The 18,288-nt window shown below is 44.8% G+C and overlaps 1 protein-coding gene across 40 annotated transcripts in view; it reads right to left on the bottom strand.

The window, feature by feature from the left end:
* Positions 1-18,288, bottom strand: part of TANC1 (tetratricopeptide repeat, ankyrin repeat and coiled-coil containing 1) — a 264,020-nt gene that overhangs the window by 48,797 nt on the left and 196,935 nt on the right. For 24 of the 40 annotated variants that reach the window (XM_047446107.1, XM_047446125.1, XM_017005141.2 and 21 more), the window contains 6 exons: positions 14,491-14,613; positions 13,058-13,339; positions 11,591-11,742; positions 8,679-8,910; positions 7,345-7,511; positions 4,700-5,307 (listed from right to left, as the gene is read on the bottom strand). In XM_047446107.1, coding sequence (XP_047302063.1) covers positions 4,700-5,307; positions 7,345-7,511; positions 8,679-8,910; positions 11,591-11,742; positions 13,058-13,339; positions 14,491-14,613 — 1,564 coding nt within the window. The remainder of the gene's footprint in view (positions 1-4,699; positions 5,308-7,344; positions 7,512-8,678; positions 8,911-11,590; positions 11,743-13,057; positions 13,340-14,490; positions 14,614-18,288) is intronic. The other 16 variants (NM_001350065.2, XM_047446108.1, XM_047446126.1 and 13 more) reach the window with 2 other exon arrangements.

Here is an 18,288-nt window from a genome sequence, read left to right as displayed (position 1 = left end):
GTGAACAGATTCCACGGGAACAAAGAGGAGGCAACCTGCCCCGTCACTCAGGCCCCGGTCCCTCCTCCTTACATTCCCAATTTCTCCTTCTTTATGGATCTTTCTCCACACTATCTCTCAGTGATGTTTCTGACAATGTTCCAATCTCCTGTGTTATTAAAAAACAAACAAACAAACAAAACCACCCGCCCCCTAAGCCCTTCCACCTCCCATCCCAAGACGCTGGCTCCCTCCTCTCTCTCCTCTCAACCCAACAGGCGGAGTCTCCTAAGGATCCAGGACCCTCCTCCCTCACTGAAAATCCAATGGCTTCCTCTTAACCGTCATTTCCCTTCACCTCTTGGCAACACTTACATCCGTAAGGTCCCTCCCTGAAACCCTCCTCCACGCCCTGGAAGCCCAGTGCTATCTTTTCTCTAATGACATGAGCTTCCTCACCGAGTCATGCCAGACACCTCTCCATCAGTGATGCTAGATCTTCAACTGTCAGCTTCTCCTCCAACCTGCCGACCCGCCCTGGCGCTGGAACCTGTCTGCCTGGGACAGACGGCTATCTTGCAATCTCAACTGCTGAAAACTAAAACCAGCTCTGTCCCTGCAAAGCCTGCCACATACCACCTGCCTTTCTTACCCTTCCCAAGAGCAATGCCACACCTAGTTTCTGGCTCTTCTTCCTCTACTCTGCCCATGAGGCCAAGCCACAAGAGCTACCTCATGTCAGCAAGGCCCGTCTCTAACCCCAGTCCCCCCAAGTCCCCACTCCTGACTGCTATAGTAGGCCCTATACACTCTGTGCCCTGCACACTCCCTTCTGCCAGCTCTTTCCTCTCCTCTGTTCCATGAAAAAAGGTCAAGTCAAACTAGATTTGCTGTTGCAGAACACGGCCTGCTCATTCTGATGCGACGTCTTCAATAGCTCCTCCTGTCTGCAACAGCCTTGTTCTACCTACTAATACCTATTAACTCCTCGAGTTAACAGAGAACAGAGCTAATAGGGGACTGTTCCAGATGAGACTTCCTGTGCAACCCCAAAAAACTGATGGATCTTAAAAATGGTCATCAGTGGCTTCTAGTGCCTACAGAGACATGACAATGTCATGCGCCTCCTGAGAGAGGTACTCACCACCACCTACTAAGTGTCCTTGTTTAAAAATATAGAATCTGAACAAGCCTCTAAACTTCACTACCAATTTATAGGAAATAGGGGTGAGAGGAACACATGAAAAAACATGAGGACACAAAATTCAGATGATGGGAAACTATACAGGATGAACTACCCAGCTGCCCTTTTTAAACAAATAAATTTTGAGGAAAAAGAAAAAAAGATGAGGAGAGAAACTATAGATTAAGAGAGATAATCGAATGCATTTTATGGACTTTTTGGATCCTGATGTGAACATACTAAAAAATAGAAATTTGAGCATGGCTAAATGTTTAAGATTATTAAGAATTTGCATTAATATTTTAGGTGCAGTAATAGCGTGGTTAAGTATGAAAATATCTCTAAGATGAATATTCAGTTATTTAAAGTAAAATGTCATGTTTACAATTTAACATACTTCAACAAAAAAAAAGGAAACAGATGTAGCAAATATTGCAAAATGTAAATATGTTTAAGTCTAGGTGATATGAATGAAAACTCTTTCTTTTTTTTTGAGACAGTTTTGTTCTTGTTGCCCAGGCTGGAGTGTAGTGGCACGATCTCGACTCACTGCAACCTTCGCCTCCTGGGTTCAAGCAATTCTCCTACCTCAGCCTCCCAAGCAGCTGGGATTACAGGTGCTTGCCACCACACCCGGCTAATTTTTCTTTTTTTTGTATTTTTAGTAGAGACTGGGTTCACCATGTTGGCCAGGCTGGTCTCGAACCCCTGACCTCAGGTGATCCACCCATCTCTGCCTCCCAAAGTGCTAGGATTACGCACGTAAGCCACCGCACCCGGCCAGACTCAAACTATTCTTTATCTTCATAATTCTATTTCTGGAATGCTAACCTAGGGCATAATCAAAACTAAGAGAGAAGAAAGGAAAGAAGAGAGGTAGTACATCGTCTTAAGATCTGATTTAATAGCTACCAGCACTCAGTGAGAAGACACTCATTTTTTATAGATAAGGAAGGAAGGCATGGAGAATTAAAATATATTTCATGCAGAGAAAAATATACAAGAATCAATGGAAGATTTGAATCCAGACCTGCAAGGCACCAAGACATGACAGGTTGTTCTGTTTGTAAGTAATTTAGAAACAACTTAAAAATCTAACGAGGGGGCCGGGCGCAGTGGCTCACGCCTGTAATCCCAGCACTCTGGGAGGCCGAGGCGGGCGGATCACGAGGTCAGGAGATTGAGACCATCCTGGCTAACACGGTGAAACCCCGTCTCTACTAAAAATACAAAAAGTTAGCCGGATGAGGTGGCGGGCGCCTGTAGTCCCAGCTACGTGGGAAGGCTGAGGCAGGAGAATGGTGTGAACCCCAGGGGGCGGAGCCTGCAGTGAGCTGAGATCACACCACTGCACTCTAGCCTGGGCGACAGCGAGACTCCGTCTGAAAAAAAAAAAAAGCAAAAAAATCCAATGAGGGTATAGTGAAGTACATAATAATTTGCCTCCTAGGAGTTTTGCACAACCATGAAAAATGAAAATGACACTTTTCTAAGACTTCTAACAGCTTAGTAAGGTGCCCGTGATGTGTTAAGCAAAAACCCAGATAAGAATTCCAAGAGAAAAAGAAGATTGGTATATCATTTAAAATGCTACAGAAAGAGGCAGAAATAAAAAATGAACTGTCTTTGTCTGAGGGTTGAAATTTTCTGCTTTTATAATTAGGGCAAAAATACGACAACTGGGAGTTGGGGAAGAAATGCTACCATTTTTCGAGGCCCAACCCACCATCACCATGTTTTAAAATCACCTCCCCAGGCCCCTTTACTTACGCTGGGAGCTTCTCCCTCTTGTGAGGTCCACATGAAGTGTGCCTCCCTCTCGCATATCACCTCCTGCCTCCCCTGCCCTGTGTGGGAAGCCCTGAGAGCAGGGTCCTTGTCCCAACAATTGGTGTCTGCCACAGTACTTTGCACATAACTGCATATAACAAAAACTGTTGCTGAACTGAATCCAGTAGCTTCCTTCCAACATTGTTCTATATCCTCTCAATTGAATGAAGCTCAAATACTACAGGTGTCTTGGGAAAATGGCAACAACTCGCACCACCCAGGAGTGGGTGCTTCCTTAAATTCTGCACCCTTGGTACCTCTCTTGCCTCCACCTAGTCCAGGTCCTGCCCCAGGGGATGTCCCCATGCCTGCTTTTAAGAACACAGTGGCATTCAGGAGCCCACAGGCACCCACCCTAGCTCTGACCTAGGCTACATAACCTCAATGCCCACCAATACCCAAAATGAAGCGAAGCTTAATGAAGACTACAGTCCAGCCACTTTAGCCTCCAACCCAGTAACAACCTACACTCCTGATGGAGTCTTTCAATTTGTTTTTATGTCTCTACAAACTCAGCTATAGTCAATCTTCCTAGAAAATGACTGGAATTTCCCTAGAAAGTAATCTGACTTGGCTAGAAATGTCACAGCACATGTTTCACCTAGCTATTATGGTCTGGCTAAATAACCTGGATGTTAGTTTATTGCCCCAAACCAGGTTCAAAAGATAACAACAAACCTTCAGCCAGTGTTACTGAAGAAAATAATAACAGCCCCAACATGAACAGCAGCCAGGCCTATCAGGTGGATGTTCAGTCAATATTCACAGGGAGGAAAGTGGCTGTGAGGCTCCCAGGGCTCACCAATGCTTGTTCACCTCTTCATTTCTGGATCCCAGCATCTGGTCAAATGCCTAAGGGGTCAGCTGAGCAGCTTGCCAGCCCTGTTACTACAGCAGGGGGCAATTCTGGCTCACAGATAGCCGAAGCCACTCGAGACAGCAGAGACACAGGCCAAAGCCAGGGCCAAGTGGAAGTTGGGGGCTTGCCATATACATATCTGAACGCATCTGCATCCTCAAACTTTCTGACCTCTCACACTGTTACCAAGCCACACAGCAGACAGGCTTCCTTCCCCATCCCACTGTGATAACAGCGGCCCAGGCAGCAAGGAGAACTGCATCCCAGCCTGGTCCAGTCCACCACACAGAGCTCATCCACAAAGGGTGAAGGGTGTGGAGCGGGGAGGCTAGATTGGATCATGGTGCTCCCTCTGGGCTCACAGATATACCTGATCCCTGGGACAAGTCACTCCATGTTCAAGGGGTGGCAGGGGAGTGGAGGTGCTGAGGACCCATGACAGTCTGCAGACACACAGGGAACTCCCTCTAGAGAAGCCCCCTGTTCCCAGGGGCTGATCTCACACATTCCCATGCATGATCCTGCAGAAGCTGGGTGGGGGAGGAGACGGGGCTCCATGAGACAATGGACAGTAAGGAAGGACCACACAGGCACCACCCAGCTTCTCTTTTATCCACATGTACCATCCATAAGGGAGTCCTAGCAATTAGAAGGCAGCTTCTGTATAGAGAATTCCCCATTGCCCATCCTTCTGCCAAAAAGGAAGAAAAATAATAAAACAAAGCAGTAACACTGAATTAGTCATTCTGGATTGCCCTTCCATTGAGACACGTGCATCACATTTAAATCCTTTCCCCAACTGCACACGAGATTCCCTGCAAAGAGCTGAAAGAAAGCGCCTGCCGTACCTGGGCTCACACAGGAAGGCCGTGTTTTCCCCGTCTGCTCTCCATACAAGCCACTCCCTGAAGGACGGGTGGCAGAACATGCGGGTTTTGTCTCGCCTCTTAATGAGGAAGCAGGAGAGGGCGTCCATCCTCTGCTGAAAGTCTTCCCATCCCTGCTCCCCCTGGATGTGGCCAGCATTAATAGCCTGAAAGATCTGCTCGTCTGTCATGGGGTGGAGGGATGCGAGGGCCACGTTGAGAATCGGAAGTGCCCTCTCAAAGGCGGACTGGGTCATGAACTTCATGTTGCACTGAAGCAAATAGAGCTCAGAGAGAGACACGGGCACCACCTTGTAGCTGGCACTCTTAATGACCAAGTGGCCCCTCTGGAAAAGGTCCAGGGTGAGCTTGAGGTACAGGTAGGAGCCGAGGCTCCGCAGCACCAGGTGGCTGCTCACTTTTCCAATGAGTGTGGCATCGGCCTTGCCATTCAGGGAGATGTTGCTGAGGATGTCCTGGCTGCTGTGCACCCTGTGCTGGACGTAGGCGTGCAGGTCACTGTGGATGTCTTTGTTGTCTGGGAAGTCATCTAAGGAAAGCTTGACAAATGGCAGCGCACTTATGATTTCCTGGGGGAGAAAACAAAAACCCACAGTGTCACTCTAAAGAGATTCCTTTTTTATTTTAACAGCATTTTAAACCAGATTCACTAGTTTTGTTTCAAGGAGGATTTTCATGGATTACAGGGACTCATTGTTTTGTATTAAAACGTGTAATAGGATAAGGTGAAGATAAAAAGCTTATGTGAAAGAAATCCTGATGGGAGATGGAATCAGTAAGTGCTATCCTGAGGCCCTCATCCAAGGACCCTGAGCCTAGCAAGCAGAGTAAGAGCCCTGTGCAGACAGCGGCAACGAGGCCAGGGCCAGTAAGGGCAGTGAGACTCTGCAGGTGACCTGATACCCATAATCCTTACACTGTGAAACTGCTTATATAACAAGGACAAACACCAACCAACACTGCACATCTAAGAACACGGCCAGACGCCAAGATAAAAGACATCCTTCTTTATGCAGCAAACACTGGGGCTGTGTAACCCAATCAGGAAATCTGAGTCTGCCCCTGGGCTGTGTCTCAACGACAGCGCATCTTAACAAAGCTGCCTACTTTGGTATAGCACGTTATTTTATGAATTGCTTTTTTAAAGTAAACTTTTAAATTGAAGTCTAACAATGAACATATGATTTGTGTACAAATGACAATTGCACAGTGTCACTAATTTTCACTAAGTCAAATATACCTATGTAACCAGCACCCAGAAACAAAACATCCTCAGCTCCCAGAAGCCTCATGTGCCCTTCCCATCTCTTCCCCATTCCAAAGATTAAGCACATCTGACACCTAAAAGCAAAGAAGAGTTTTGCCTTTTTAAAAAGACTTCCCACTATTGTTTCTGAAGTATTTAAATGCACGTGCTCATTTAATATAACAATGTAGATAAAGAGGGCAGAATACAATTATTCCCATTTTACATGGATGCTATCTGAAGCTCTGAAAACTTACACAGCTGGGAAGAAGAACGTAAGATTCCTGGTTCCTATGATCTACTGATGGACAAATTGTGCTTACTATGTAAAAAATGACTGAAAAATATACAAACTGAATGTCCAAAAAACACGCATCAAGTTCAACTGAGGTCTAATTTCAGTTTTTATAATGAAAAAATTCCAAATGCTGTTTTTAAATAAATATCATAAAAGGGCAAAAATCAAAACCTAATGTCTAAAAGTCTTCACTGAAAAAGGATAGGTATAGAAGGAGTCAATGGTTAAGACACAATTTCAGGGTTTAAGTGAGGAAGAAGATGGAGGAGAAAAAAAAAATCACCCTACCCCTCGCTGCAAATGTTACCTCATGCTTAAGTTTTGTGAAAAAATAGACCTCTGGGAATAGGCCTTAAAAATGTTTCACCTTCAGCCAGGCACAGTGGCTCATGCCTGTAATCCCAGCACTTTGGGAGGCCAAGGTGGGTGGATCACCTGAGGTCAGGAGTTGGAGACCAGCCTGGCCAACATGGTGAAAATCCGTCTCTACTAAAAATACAAAAATTAGCTGGGCATGGTGGCAGATGCCTGTAATCCCAGCTACTCCGGAGGCCAAGGCAGGAGAATCACTGGAACCAGGGAGGCGGAGGCTGCATTGAGCCGAGATCATGCCACTGCACTCCATCCTGGGTGACAGAGCGAGACTCTATCTCAAAAAAAAAAAAAAAAAAAATCTTTCACCTTCATTTTTCCCTTCAAAAAAACACAAAGCCCCACAGTAAACCCTTGCAAATAACTACCAGCAGGAGTAGCTTTAAACTCTGGCAGGCCTCTTGGCCCCACACACTCCATGACGGTAACCAGGGCTAGATGCCACCATTTGAAAAGTGAACGTGCAATTCGATGCCAACAGGAAACTTACCTGACATCTTGATAAATATACCTGGGGCTAAAAAGGTCAGAGTTTCACCCAAGTCTGGCTCTCTGGACTAGTTTTTCAAATTCTTAACATAGTTTCCAATTCAAGCAGCTGAATGGTTTACAACAGTTTTACGTTATTAACATTTATCACTGTAAAATTGGAATGGGGACTTGGAGAAAGATTTGAGAATTCTTTGTTACCTGAAAATTTGCTCTTACAGTCACAATCAACTTCAACCAGGCAGGAAATTTAGAAATAATTTTGGTAATAAATGAAGAAAGCGTATCTCCATAATCAGGTTTATGAAACTCAGCTTCATTTAAGCCATCTATCAAAATAATGTATTCTTCTTCAGGAATTTTCTGCTCTACAGGATAAAATAATTTTTTCAAATTAAGAAATTATACATTTCTCTAAGACAGCAACACCCAGTGTATTTTAGTGCCCAGTTTAGTGTTAGAAACTAAAAAGGTTTACATATGGCACAAGAAACAGTTTTCACAGAAGCATATTTTCTATTAAATTTATAATGAAAACTGGAGCACAGAGCCAAAAGAAAACCAATTCTCACAAAACAAACATATTGCATGACACATGTTAGCAGAATCTCACTCGTGTATATAACACAGTTAGCTCTTCATAAACCACTGTCATTGGGGTGGGCTACACAAAGATAATGAACACATACAGAGGCCCAATCCGGAAAGGTCACTAGGTCCCCCCATGAGAGCTCCCCAGTGGATTCCAGGGAAGGGAAACTGACCCCCTCGCTGCCCCCAGCCCAGGGCAAACTGCCCTGGCCAAGCCATACAACCAACACAGCGTGAGAGCTCCACGCTACCGACTCCTCCAACAGGGCTCTTCTCTGCGAGCCTGAATCTGGTTTTCTATTTATTAGTGCTGATTTTCTGCCCAGGCAATAGAGAAGAAATGATGACATATCTGTTTTCTATCCCTCTAGCACCTTCCAGCAGAGGTGCCATGTGGGCAAGTAAACAAGCTCAAAAGGTGAGGAGTCCAGGGCAGAGAGGATGGGAAACTGAAGGGCCCATCAGGTCACTGATGTCCATTACCTTGTCGGGGACAAACAATTAAAATGGAAACCTTTAGAAGTCACTTTAAGGTTTCAATTCAACTGAGCAGAGGCCCTGACAAATATATATGCTGGAAAATTCCTCCAAATAATCCACTTATTCCCTCAGATACTTAGGAGTGCAAAATACGCAACAGTCTTCTGTGGTGCAAGTCACCTAAACAGCCCACACTTACAAGCTGACTACTTTGGAACTGCTCAGTCATCACATTCATTCTTATCAGGGTGCTTCTTTTAACACTATACCATAGGGGTGGTGTAGGAGCGACCTCATGGGGCTGGTTCTGAGAAAGAGGAGTGGATGGGCACGGAGGCTTCGACATCCTCTCCATGCTCCACCTCACTTCTACCCCAGCCCGGCTGACCACCTGCCTTCTGGGGACCACCTGTGTCTGCTGTACCACTACTGAGATGGGGCTGTGGGTAGCTGCTGCGAAGTACCATTTCTCAGGTTTGTGAGTGGCTCCAGCACTCCCCTCTTGAAAGCTGCCACCGGGTCCTGCACACAGGATCGGAGGCTCAGCATGCTCTGTAGTTGGGGCTCCTTTATCAGAAGGTCTCTGTAGGCGGCCAGCTGATGGGACCGGCAGAGCAAAGCTGCGATGCTGTGCACAAACTCGGGCACCAGGCAAGTGTACGTGTTGTCAGCCTGGCAGTAGTGGTAGGCCACCACCTAGGGGGAAGCAGAACCGTCAGCATCACCTCACCCTCTTCACACAGCTCCTTCTGCAATCTCAAACAGGAACACAACTCTGCCCATTCGCTGGTAACAAGATACATAGCATCTATTCCCCAAGACTGGGTCATTTGTTAGCATAATTGTTCCATTTATTCCTTCCTTCACTTATGTGGTTTGCAGACCTTTAACTGCATCCACAAAGCCATCTTGATTAGCATAAAAATCAGCACAAGTTATTTTTTTATTTTTGTATTTAATATAAACAAACAGCATTCATAAAACCTAAAACCTACCCTGGCTTACAGCAGCTCCAAGCCATCCTAATATTCTCAACATCAAAAAGTGCCATCTTCACTAGGTTTCTGTTCTCAAGAGCAGCGGCACCTCTTTAGGAAACCCTTTTGCTGATCCCAAAAGGCAGATGATAAACCCAGTGGCTGTGAGACCGGGGCTGTAGAGTCACAGCAGCTCCTTCTCCTGGTCAGGAGGGTCAAGATCTTGGCCCCTCCCCACACCCACACTGCATCAAGGGACACTGTGGAGGAGTTCTACAGGGGCACTGTCTGAAGAATGAAACCCGAAATCACCAAATCTCTGCCCATCGTGTGGAGAGATAAGTTGGAGTTGAGAGGGAGCTGCCCAGGTACTGAGAGGAAAAGGAATGGTCCCTGTTCCAAGGGACCTGCAGTGTCAGCAGGCTGTTTGTGAGAGGGACCCCACGAAAGGGCCAGACGCTGAAGTGTTGGGAATGGGAGGCGTGCTATAGATAGAAGAAAAATCCAATACTTTTCCAAAGGAGGATGATAGGAGAAACACAAGTAGAAGGTAAGGAAGGAAAAGAAGAGCAAAACACTCGTGCCAAGAGCTACCTGTTTTTTGGGAGTATCTGCCTTGCTGCTGTCCCACTGGGTGCGGCAAGCGCCTGCAGGAAGTAGGACAAGAACCACTAGCCACAGTTCATCACTGAGGGCACCAGACACTGAGGTTAGATGCCTTGCCAACCTGACACAGATAGTCAGGGATGTGGGATTAGATCCCAAGTCTGCAGACTCTTTAAAAGGCAAGTGGCAAAAGTAAATGTGCAACAGCTTTTCTCTGGCCAACCTGGAGTTGCCATGAGACTTTTGGTTTAGATTAAATTTATCATCAACAGAGGAAAGCTGGCTGCTCTCCAACTCTCACCTGGACAGAAATTAGCAGGGATACATGTGAGGATCCTGTAAGCTTGTGCAAACCATCATGAGATGTCCAGTACCACAGTCTCACATGGCATTTGACAAAAACAGCTTGGCAACCCAACAGTGGGTCATGAAATCTATTTATTTATTTATTTTATTTTTTTGAGATGAAGTCTTGCTCTGTCACCCAGGTTGGAGTGCAGTTGCACAATCTTGGCTCACTGCAGCCTCCGCCTCCTGAGTTCAAGTGATTCTCCCGCCTCAGCCTCCCGAGTAGCTGGGATTATAGGTGCCTGGCACCATGCCTGGCTAATTTTTGTATTTTTAGTAGAGACGAGGTTTCAATATGTTGGCCAGGCTGGTCTCCAACTCCTGACCACTGGAGTGATCTGTACGCCTCGGCCTCCCAAAGTGCTGGGATTACAAGCATGAGCCGCCAGGCCCGGCCTTGAAATCAATTTAGAGCCACAATTTTTTAAAAAATAAACTTAGGAACACTAGAGTGTATTATAGGATATAAGAATAAACATAGTTCTAAAATGCTTTAGTTATGTGGGTGATTATGTGTGAGTGATCTCTAGTGTAAGATGTATCTCTTATGTGGGTCACAGTCAATGGAGTTTGAAAATCACCATAAGCAGGGATGGCTTTGAAGTCTGCACTACATCACTCATCTCAAATCACCCACTCATGACTAGAGGACTGTTCTGAACCAGTGGTCAGAACCATCAGGGGTGATGGCGCCAAGAGCAGTCATCATCCGGAAAGCAGAAGGGACGGGGATCTGGTGCAGGGCAAGATTCGGTTCAGCTCCCCTCACCAACCTCCCCACAGGGCCTCCTCACAAGGTGTCCCCATGGCTGCTGGCTCCAGCAGCTCTCCAGCTCCACCGACTCACACCACTGCTGCCCAGGGAAACTTAAGTAGCTCACTAGGAGCAAGGGATGTAACTGCTTTAATGCAGGAGTGCGGTTGGTGAGCCAGTGATGGGTGCTAAGCAGAAGAAAAACTTCAGAAAGACCTTGATGATCACAAATTTAAGAAGGGAAAGTTAGCCAAGGAAGGCTCTATTACAACTTCACGAGAAACCTCTGTCAGAAAGCCAAGGAAACCAAAGGCCTCAGACAACAGAGTGCAGGGGAAGAGGTCTGGGTCAAGTCAAAAGCTCCCAATTTCCTGCTCACATACCAAATTAGGAAGAGCACATGCAGATAAGCATGGATTTGTGGCGAGTGCACATGCTACCTTCTGCTGCCTTGAGGAACTCTTTCAATCCATTGTTTAAGATGGATCAGGTCCACTGCCAATGTCTTAAAACAGATACTTACTGTCATTCACACTTTTACTTGGAGAACTGTATCACTATTTCATTAAAAGCTATACTTTATCATTAAGCAGTTGTCTCTGTTTTAAGCTCCCTTTTCCAATCTACTTCTCAGAAACCAAACCAGCAAATCTCTCTATGTGGAAGGCTCCAATAAAACAAGAAAGATTACCTTAGAAGCAAGATATTTCACTGCATCCTCTCTTGGTCTCTGGTTTTCAGCACTGATAGACCCAAGAGGTGTTTTAGCTGTGCTGGAAGCACTTGTGGAAGAACTCGGTGAAAGCAACGGAGTGAAATGAAGATCCTGAGTGGGGTCAGAGGCTGCAGAGAAAGACCCATTTCATTATGTACATCACAGTAGGAGCAGGGTGTGGTATTGAATATATTTCTTGATTTGTGCCAGGGCATATTTTAATAAGCAAGGAGTGAACATGGTCCAAAATTCAGAGGTCCACATGAGAGCACAGGTTCCCATCTGTCTGCCACCCAACTGGTTCCCCTCCCTGGAGAACAGCCATCAGTGTACTGTTTCCAGTTTCCTCTATTAAATTTTTTTTTTCTTTTTCTTTTTTTTTTTTTTTTTTTAAGGCGGAGTCTCACTCTGTGGCCCAGGCTAGAGTACAGTGGTGCCATCTCGGCTCACTGCAACCTCGACCTCCTGGGTTCAGGTGATTCTCCTGCCTCAGCCTCCCAAGTAGCTGGGATTACAGGCACCCGCCACCACACCCAGCTAATTTTTGTATTTTCAGTAGAGACGGGGTTTTACCATGTTGGTCAGGCTGGTCTCAATCTCCTGACCTTAGGTGATCTGCCCATCTTGGCCTACCAAAGTGCTGGGATTACAGGCATGAGGGCAGTGGCACAATCCCAGCTCACTGCAGCCTTCATTTACTGGGCTCAAGCGATCCTCCCACCTCAGCCTCCTGAGTAGCTGGGACAAAAGGCAGGCACCACTATGACTGGTGAATTTTTTGTAGAGACGAGGTCTCCCTATGTTGTCCAAGCTGGTCTCAAACTCCTGGGCTCAAGCGATCCTCCCACCTCGGCCTTCCAAAGTGTTGGTATTACAGATGTGAGTCACAGCGCCTGGCCTATTAAATTCTTTTGTGTCTTAAAAATCTCGCATGATTCACTTGTTCACCATGTTTAGAGTGGGTTTATTGCATATGAAATAAACAGTAAATAGTCAAACATTTGGCTACTCTATCCTATGTCTTTATAATTTTGGAAAATCCAATACAGAAGACGAAGGCTGTGCCAAACAGGGTACAAAAGAACTCCACATTAGAGTCCATCTGAGCTTGTTCTACCAGGAGCCCAACCCCTTGCTCTTAGGGCCCCAAATTCTCCAGGACACTTGATCAGCCTCACTGGCCCATCTCTGCCTGTATCTAAAGGAAGAGGGGGTTACAGTTCAGGAGGACATCAGGGAACACTGGCCTCGCCCCAGCTTACAGCTGAATACACATCATGATGGAGGGACATATTGAAACAGTTCACTTCACACATGATGGCAAACCTGATATAGTAGCTGCAACAACTTGAGGAAAATTGGTATTTTATGTCTATGTGAACAGCAATTTCCTCCATCTATCTTATGTTAATAAACTAGACAAGTAATTAAACATGCACGTACTTTTAGGTGATGAACCCGGGCTGTTGGAAGCAATCTGCCTCATGCGGCTTCCGTGGCAGCTCAGGGCCACCAACTTGGAAATGATTGCCGTCTTCCCAAATCCCACATTGCCAACCACCACCGCGCCTCTGTTTTCTGCCAGTTCTGTGTTCCTCAAGTTTTCTTCTATCTGGTGAAAGAGCCAATCCCTTCCCACAAACACAGAGTCTGTTGTTATGCTTGGTACTTCAAACAACAAGGGTTTCAACAAAATGTCTTGTGGCTTGTAGGGAGCAAATCGTGCTTCAAAAGAAGAAAAAAAAATTTTAGAAAAATGTCATAATTTTATAAACTAAGAAACTCAAATATTATTGCTTGTGTGTTACACTAAATCCTTAGCTTTACCCCCACTAGGATCTGTCTGTAAGCATTTCCAATCTCGTTCTATTAATACTTCTGTAATACCTCAATTACCATACCCTATTGGACCTATTGGACCAATAGGAAACTAGAGTGTCCTATTGAAATTACTCTCTAGTCTTGTCATGGCTTTGAATTATTCTCAGGACTCAAGGCAGACACACAGAGGATTAGAGAAAGCCATGTGAGGGGCCAAATCATGTCTCATTGGTTCATCTGGAACTGCATTTAAGACGTGCTTCTTCCCTGCTGTATGAATAAAACAGAAACATGTTTTCCCTAGAAATAGGGCTCTGCTCTCATCCAGGTGTGATGACTCTGCCTGTACAGTGAGGCTGCTGTGTACCTCACACAACTGTGTTACAGGTAGACAGAGAACATGGCCAATACAGTCCAAGTGTTTTTTTTTTTTTTTGAGATAGTTTCACTCTTGTTGCCCAGGCTGGAGTGCAATGGCACGATCTCAGCTCACTGCAACCTCCGCCTCTTGGGTTCAAATAATTCTCCTACCTCAGCCTCCCAAGTAGCTGTGATTACAGGTACCTGCCACCATGCCCAGCTAATTTTTATATTTTTAACAGAGATAAGGTTTCACCACATTGGCCAGGCTGGTCTCAAACTCCTGACCTCAGGTGATCCACCTGCCTCGGCCTCTCAAAGTGCTGGGATTACAGGCATGAGCCACCGCGCCTGGCCTAGTCCAAGAATTGAAACAAAGCTTATACTTTATTAGTAATAAACACCTAATGAGTGTTAAACTACCCCTCACTTCAAAACTACCCCTCACTTCAAAATAACTTACTGCAGAATTACTTTTTCAATTCCAGAAGCAAGTTAATCACATATTTTAAAGGAAGAAGCCCCAAACTGTTGAGGATGACCTCTTAGCACACCTCACAGATATGCTTTTAGCACAAACACACTTTCCATCATGTTATAAACACAGTTGGCTTCAATGCTGGTTATCACAGACTTTCAAAGTTACTGACTGAGTTAGTCATAACCATTATCGCAGCTGATGCCAGGATAAATACCTTTAACTTCCTGTGCCCTACCTCCGGCCGTATTGTGCCATGGTAATCTAATTGACGTCCGTAGAGGAGCATTTCTCTGCCCGTCTAAATAACTCAGATCTTCCAATTTGGTTGAGCTTGTTGCTGTAATATTAAACTGAAGTTTAGTATCTTCAAAGGTGACTTTAAATTTCATACCTAAGTGACTATAACTTATAAATCACTAAGCAATTCAGTTCAGGCTTTCAACAAAATTTACTTAAACTTCATTTTGATATTGTTTGCCCCAGTTTATTTTTCTGGCAGTATCATTAGTTGAAAAGTGGTAAAAACCAAATGCTTCTTTTTCTTAAAGTTATGTTGACTGAGTTGTCAGAATTCTCCATTATTCCTGGAAAGAGACAGAATTCACCATAAAGTGTTTGATGAGGAAATCTGACAATCATGTGGCACACAGCAAAGCTTCAGTACTTAACACCACAAGCAGGTGGCATGCTGCTAGATTCTTCTCTGCAGCTCTGGGGAGCTTTCTGCTGTTTGGAATTCCCAACTTATTAATTAAATGGGCAGATTCTATGTGTACAATTCCACAGCACCGAGAACACTAAAAGTTGGCTCAGTAGTAATAGTATAATCATATTCCTAAGCTTCAAATATATGTGTAGACTTATATACACATTCTATATCATACCGCATTTTTTGGTGTTTTTTATTATAAAAATAAGTTATGTTTACCTCTGACCAAGTCAGTAAGACTCATATCACCTAAGTATTTGTTATAAAGCATTAAAGAGCAGGGTGCAGTGGCTCACGCCTGTAATCACAGGACTTTGGGAGGCTGGGGCGGGTGGATCGCTTGAGGTCAGGAGTTCAAGACCAGCCTGGCCAACATGGTGAAACCCCATTTCTACTAAAAAACAAAAAAAATTAGCTGGGCATGGAGGCGGGTCTCTGAAATCCCAGCTACTTGGGAGGCTAAGGCAGGAGAATCGCTTAAACCTGGGAGGCAGAGGTTGCAGTGAGCCAGGATCGTGCCACTACACTCCAGCCTGGGTGACAGAGCAAAACTCTGTCTCAAAAAAAAAAAAAAAAAATTAAAGATCTATTCAAACATTCATACGAGTTAGATTACAAAAACAACTACCGCAAAATAATTTTGCTAATTCTCAAGAAATCTTAGAAGCAAGTACATAGTACACGTTTTTGCCTTTTAAAAACCCCTCCTGTTATTACATTGAGGAAAATCTAAAATTAACCTAATTTGGTTTATGGGTTAAGCCCAACATGAAGTACTGTTGATCTTAGTCAGATTATTATCTTTCAGGACAAGAAAATATACAGTGACTTGAGGGCAAATGAGAGCCTAGAGGGAGACATAGTGCCTGGGTAAAGCCTTCTTAGCACTGGGGACATCTTCAGTGGGACCAAGGTGCAGGGGACAGAAGTCGAGTTGGGCCATCTGTCTTCTGAAAACCCTCTGGCTGCCCAACAGGCTCTGACCCAGCATCCAGCTGCCGACCAGTGCCATCCGTCCTACCTGCACCCTTCCATTTCCCCCTACTAAGATCTCAGTCCTTCTCTTCCTCACTATCCATATCATCCTCTCTCATTCCTTCATTCAACAGCCACCTGGGTGGCTCCAGGCCTGACTGTGTTGGCATATCCCCTCTCGCTGCATCCTCCAAAGGGCAATCCAACACGTGCCCTGCCTACTCATCCTCCCAGCGAGCAAGAAACACCTGAAACCTTGACTTCACGACAGCATGCACCTATGCCTCTGTATCCTCCTGGTGCATATCCACAGTGTATACACATTTAAGTGAATATTCTATGCACTTTGCCAGCTACCACACAAATCTTTCCCATTAGAAAGACTCAGCTAATTACTTGTTGGGGATTTTAAATGGATCGAATGTACGGTAATCCAAGGACAGCGTCTAGCTTCTCTCTAGGCCCTTCATAAGTAGGGTGTATAAAATCTCCCGGAGGGCTAACAGGACTACACTGTCTTCCCCAAACCTTCTTACCTCCCTACAGTAACACAGCTTGGAACATTTTCTAGGCTCCTGCCTGAGCACTGAGACCCTTCTCCTCACATGCCTCATGGTGAATGCACCCACCAAGGCACAGGTAGAAGGGGCAGGCAGCCATATTCATAACCCGTAATTCATTTCAGAGCCAGAACAGTCATGAACATCTGACATAATGCTGCAGCCCTAGAGAATAAAAAGATGCTTTAGAGCCTCAAAAGTGTTGCCTATTTCCCTTCTTCCCCTGACTCCTTAGAACAGTTTATAAATTTATAACAACTGAAAGGATTAAAAATATGTGACCATAAAAGACATTCCAAATAAAGGATTGCAAAAATGCCCTAGATTGTATCTAAACAGGTACAGGAGATGTTAAGATTCCACAGGCCTGTTTTCAGATTCCCAGCCACTAGAGCTTCGGCACCAAAATCTGCAACAGAGCAGCCTCAGCACTTCCACAGCTCTTGGCTGATTCTCAATTTCAAATACGATTAAGCCGAGCTGAAAGCTGCAGCAGGGCCATAAGCCACCACCTGCCAGCTATCTCAGCTTTCTGAGGCATTTTCGAAGCCACCAATAGAGGTGCCAGTGAATAGGGCAGGAAGATTTCAGTGGCTTAGCTATGTGCCCAGGTGCTCCCCACCCTCTGAGCAGGTAACTTGGGCCACTCTGCCCTCTCAGGCATGCCTACAGTAGATTCTCAGTTGTTACCTATGCAAAAGTCAGACTCACATTCAGTATTTACCCATAAACGCTTTCAAAATCCTAGACACTACTCAGGGCCCCAAAAACCCAAAGGTAAAGCAATAATTTCATGCTACAATAAACCCACTGCTAGAATCTCTACAGCGAAATTAATTATACACTTGTTGTGCACACACACACACACACACCATATCTAACATCTGGATAAGAAGCACATTTCAAGATGTGGAGGAAAGTCCGTTTTTTGGTGAGGGTGGGCTTGGTGGGGCAAGGCAGAGGGAGACATCTCTAAGCTGAACAAAGAAGAACATTTGCTAAAGTTGTGGTCTAACCTATGGAAAGTCCATGCCAATAAGTCCAGGGCAATGACCAGTTTTAGGAAAACTGGATAGCAATCATGCTTGTTTCCTGGAAAATTAAACACAGTGTTCTATAATCCACTCAGAAAGTATTTTGAAAGGTAAAAAATAGAACCCATTACCCAACTTCTTTCTGATTTAAAACATACCTTTAAAGGCTTCTAGGTCTGTTTTTAATAAAGGAAAGAGGTGTCCATGTCATGCATTTTGATGTGATATATAGTTGTCCAAACCAATCCCACTCTAATAAATATCTTTACAAAGAAAATCTGTATAGTGAAATAATCTTTAAACCTAGCCAACTTATTTTTATAATCTTTGTCAAAAAATAAAAATAAAAAAACCTGTCACTGTACTACATGGTTAACAGACAATTTCATTCTCTGTAGCAAGCTCAATAAAGGACCTTAGGAAGAACTTCTGCACCCAATCCCCTAGGGGCCAGCCCCATGAGGAGGCTGTGAACAGAGGTCTGGCATCACCCTTCCTTTACCTGCCAATCCTCATATGCCAAAACACCTTTCCCACCAAAAGGCAATTTGTTTACCTGGATCATAACATGCAAATACTTCTAAGAGATTTCTGTATACGGTCCTTCACATATTATTCTGATTCTTCTAACACTGAGTGTTCTCTGCTGCCCTGTTTGTAGCAGCCTGCCTTCTAATCACTAAATAGTGCTGCATAGAGTCTATACAACCTGAATCTTACTCTTCAATGGTACT

The sequence above is a fragment of the Homo sapiens genome, chromosome 2 (assembly GCF_000001405.40).
Source record: "Homo sapiens chromosome 2, GRCh38.p14 Primary Assembly".
NCBI lineage: Eukaryota > Metazoa > Chordata > Mammalia > Primates > Hominidae > Homo > Homo sapiens.
This window is presented reverse-complemented; position numbering and strand designations above follow the sequence as displayed.